Here is a 3,991-nt window from a genome sequence, read left to right on the forward strand (position 1 = left end):
AGGGATGATTTAGCTTCCTGATGGTCCAGAAGCTGCCCTGACTCTTTCTCCTGCTGGCTGATGGGGGTGGGTTTCCACAATGCAAAGTGCCTACAAGCTGTCAACAAGTTCAAGCTGATCAACTCCAGGGGAGAAGGTGGTAGGCATTGGGGATAAGAGGCTATGACATCTCAGGAGGGTTTATTCATCCTTGGGGCACGTCCTTCCAATACTATTCACAAACTTACAGTGATTTAGAGACCCTCTGTTGGGCGGGACTAATGATGTTGGTACCGGTGCTCTGGTCAGGGTTTCTCAAAGTGGCCTCCCTTGAGATACTCAGTGATAAAGGGTCTGTTCCCTGGTCACCTCCCTTTGGGGAGCTGCCGCACCTGTGCACTGCATCTTCCTCTTTCAGCTGACCAGTGAGTGTTTAGCCTTTTGAAAGCTCTGAGAAGCCCTGCAGTGAAGAAACCTATAGAACCCTGAGTATGTCCCAAACTGACTTCACCACGAACCCCCAAGCCCTTATTTCACCCCTAAGAGCTGCTGGGGGGACTGGGAGGGATGTGTTGAGAGAGTGGGGGTCACGCCCAACATCCAGCTTATTCAGGATCAGCCTTGTGCTGGGAAATCCAGGCCTTCTCGGAGCATGTGAGCGTCCCCCCTCCCCCTAACCTGTTGTAAGGAGCTTACAGTCTGGCCAGGGACACAGTACCGGGGGCTGGGGGCGGGGCCCATCAACTGCGTGGGGCCACTCTGGCTGCAGGAAGAGTGTGTGTGTGTGTGTGTGTGTGTGTGTGTGTGTGTGTGTGTGTGTGTGTGTAGGGGGTGGGGGGCTGGTTAAAGGAAGGCTTAAAGGGCTCCGAGGATAGTCTGTCCAGATGGAGGCAGAGAGTGAAGGGTGAGGTGGGGTTCCTGTGCAAGGTCAGGGGGCAGGGGACGTGTTGGGGTCGGTCTGGCTGCCTGTTCAAAGCCTACCTCCACCATGCAGGAGCTCCCTGAGGCTGGGCTATTCTCCCGCCCTGCGGGTTTCGGGTTCCTTATCTGAACAGGAGGTGCTGATAATTAGCACCTGGGGAGCTTGGATGAAGGCCTGCCAGAGGAAGCTCTCAGTGAATATCTACAGTTTTCCTGTAAGTTAAAGCCACTTCCTCCTCAGGTGCCTCCCTGGGATATGGGAGTCCCTCTGCGGGGGCGGCGGAAGAGGCCTCAGAACTCCGCAGTGGCTCACCTTAGAAATTAGGGCACCGGGCTGGGCATGGTGGCTCATGCCTATAATCCCAACACTTTGGGAGACCGAGGCAGGTGGATCACCTGAGGTCAGGAATTCAAGAGCAGCCTGGCCAAGATGGTGCAACCCTGTCTCTACTAAAAATACAAAAATTAGCTGGGCGTGGTAGTAGGCGCCTGTAATCCCAGCTACTCGGGAGGCTGAGGCAGAGAATTGCTTGAACCCGGGAGGCGAAGGTTGCGGTGAGCCGAGATTGAGACACTGGACTCCAGCCTGGGCAACAGAGCGAGACTCCTTCTCAAAAAAAAAAAAAAAAAAAAAAAAGAGGGCACCAGGGTCGCAGGCGCAGTGGCTCACGCCTGTAATCCCAGCACTTTGGGAGGCCGAGAAGAGCGGATCACGAGGTCAGGAGTTCAAGACCAGCCAGTTCGAGACCAGCCTGGCCAACATGGTAAAACCCCGTCTCCACTAAAAATACAAAAATTAGCTGGGTGTGGTGGCGGGTGCCTGTAATCCCAGCTGCTCGGGAGGCTGAGGCAGGAGAATTGCTTGAACCCAGGAGGTGGAGGTTATAGTGAGCTGAGAGCGCCACTGCACTCCAGCCTGGGTGACGGAGAAAGACTCTGTCTTGGGAAAAAAAAAAAAAAACGAGGGGACCATGTGGTCGGGAAATGCGCAGGGCCAGGGCTTGCCCAGCTCATCCCAAACTGTGCCTGCTGCCCTCGCCAGACCTCCAGCTGGTCTCATTCAGGGCGTCTGCGTCGTTCTGAGGTGCTGCCTAGGGGCAGGGGCAGGTGGGGATGAGGGCGCAGTCCCCCTCCATGAAATGGCAGAGCCTAAGCCCCGGCCATTGCCGGTCTTCAGCAAACGGCAAACTTGCCAGACAGGCTCCCCACACACTCACACACACCTACACTCATACCCCTACACAGACCCCACACACTCACACACACACACACACACACCCCCACACACCCCATACCCCCCACACACATTTCCCTCCACACACCCCACACACCCCATACCCCCCCCCACACCCCATACCCCCCAAACACACCCCACACACACGCACCCCACACATGCATGCACCCCCCTACATGCACACTCACACCCACAGCCCCCACCCCCACACTCTCACACATGCACATTCACAGACACGTACCCCACATACACATGCACTCACACCTTCCACACACCTCACACACCCCATCCCCCCACATGCACCCCCAAACACATCCCACACACACTCCCATACACACCCCACACACTCACACCCCCCACCCCCCACACACGCACCCACATACACACCCTCCCCACATACCCCCCACACACCCACACTCACATCCCCCACTCCCCCCCACACACCCCACATCCCCACACACACACCTCCACACATCCCCATGCACACACTCACACCCCCACCCCCCACACACATACCCCCACACACTCACACCCTCCCCACATACCCCCCACACACCCCACATCCCCCCACACATCCCCCCCACACATCCACATGCGCACACACACGCACACGCACACACGCACAGGCACACACATGCACAGACACACATGCACACACACTCACTCCGCACACACACTCACTCCTCGGGGCCCTTCGCTGTCCTGTGGCCCAGTGGCCCACGGAGAAGGATGCCAGGAGAGAAACGGGTGGGCTGGTCTTGTGGAATCTGGCAGCCAGGGCAGCCCCCATCTGAAGGCAGGAGGATCTGGAGGGGCGCAGAGGCTGTGTTGACCAGAACATTCTCCACTCAGTGCCCAGAATTCTATGGTTAGAATCTTTGAATGGAGGCTGTTGGGCCTCCAACAGGCCCTCAATGTGCACACCAGACACAGGGCAGGACAGAGGGGCTGGGCAGGATTGCTGCCGCGTAGGGGCCTGGACTCGCAGGGCGCTGGGCGGATAACTGCTGATGAATGGTGCACAGAGGCAGCCATGCAGAGGCCCAGGAGGACAGAGCTGAATGGATGAGCCCGGCGGGGCCAGGTACCTGGAGACCCGGAAGGGACCACTGCCGGCGGGGTGGCATCAAAGCCCTCCCTGAGCCACCCTTCAAGCCAGGTTTGGGTTAGGAGGACCACACCGGAGTTCTGGCAGTGCCAGTGTATCAGGCGGAAGCTTGGCCCGGGGGTGGAAGATGGAGCGAGCCCCTCATGGGTAAGACGAAGTGGTAGTGCAGACTGTGGCCGAGGCCGCATGCTCCAGACATCAGGGAGCGCTCGCCTCAGCCAACTCCCAGTTTTTCCAGTTCTTTGGTGACCCCAGTGCCCTGTTCAATGTAGCATCAAAGAACCCCGAGGGTGGCAGACAGAAGCCCCAGTCAAAGGCCCAGCAGCCTCGGGTGGGCTCTGGGAGAGGGGCTAGACCCTGGCTGCCACCCAGTGCGCCGCCCCACCGGGCCTCCCGGGCTGACCTCCAGCTCAGGTTTCCCGGATGAGTGGTGGCCCAAGACTGCACTGCTCCCTGCCTGCGCCTTCAGGGCCTGCACTCACCCCGTCTGAGGGGCCTGACCCCAGAGCCCTGAATACCGTGAGAAAGGCAGGAGACACAAGACAGGGAGTGGCCTTCATCCCTCAGCCTCACCCCACACTGGATGGGTGAGGTCTCTGCAGGCCACCCCTGGGGCTCTGAGTCCAGGCGTCTGCTGCTTTCGGGAACCGCAGAGATGGCCAAGTGAGGACACGGGTTGCCATTGCCCGCCCCACCTCCGAGGGAAGCTGAAGGCTAGGGGTCCTGCCTGGGAGCCCCGTTTTTGCAAG

The 3,991-nt window shown here is 58.9% G+C and overlaps 1 annotated feature.

Moving 5' to 3' along the window:
* Positions 300-902: an enhancer, noted in NCBI's record as "H3K4me1 hESC enhancer chr18:47285800-47286402 (GRCh37/hg19 assembly coordinates)". NCBI's record gives its function as "activates a minimal SCP1, AML or CMV promoter by ChIP-STARR-seq in primed H9 embryonic stem cells {active_cell/tissue: H9 hESC(primed)}" and the evidence as "EXISTENCE:reporter gene assay evidence [ECO:0000049][PMID:30033119]".

The sequence above is a fragment of the Homo sapiens genome, chromosome 18, assembly GCF_000001405.40.
Source record: "Homo sapiens chromosome 18, GRCh38.p14 Primary Assembly".
In the NCBI taxonomy this organism is placed as follows: domain Eukaryota; kingdom Metazoa; phylum Chordata; class Mammalia; order Primates; family Hominidae; genus Homo; species Homo sapiens.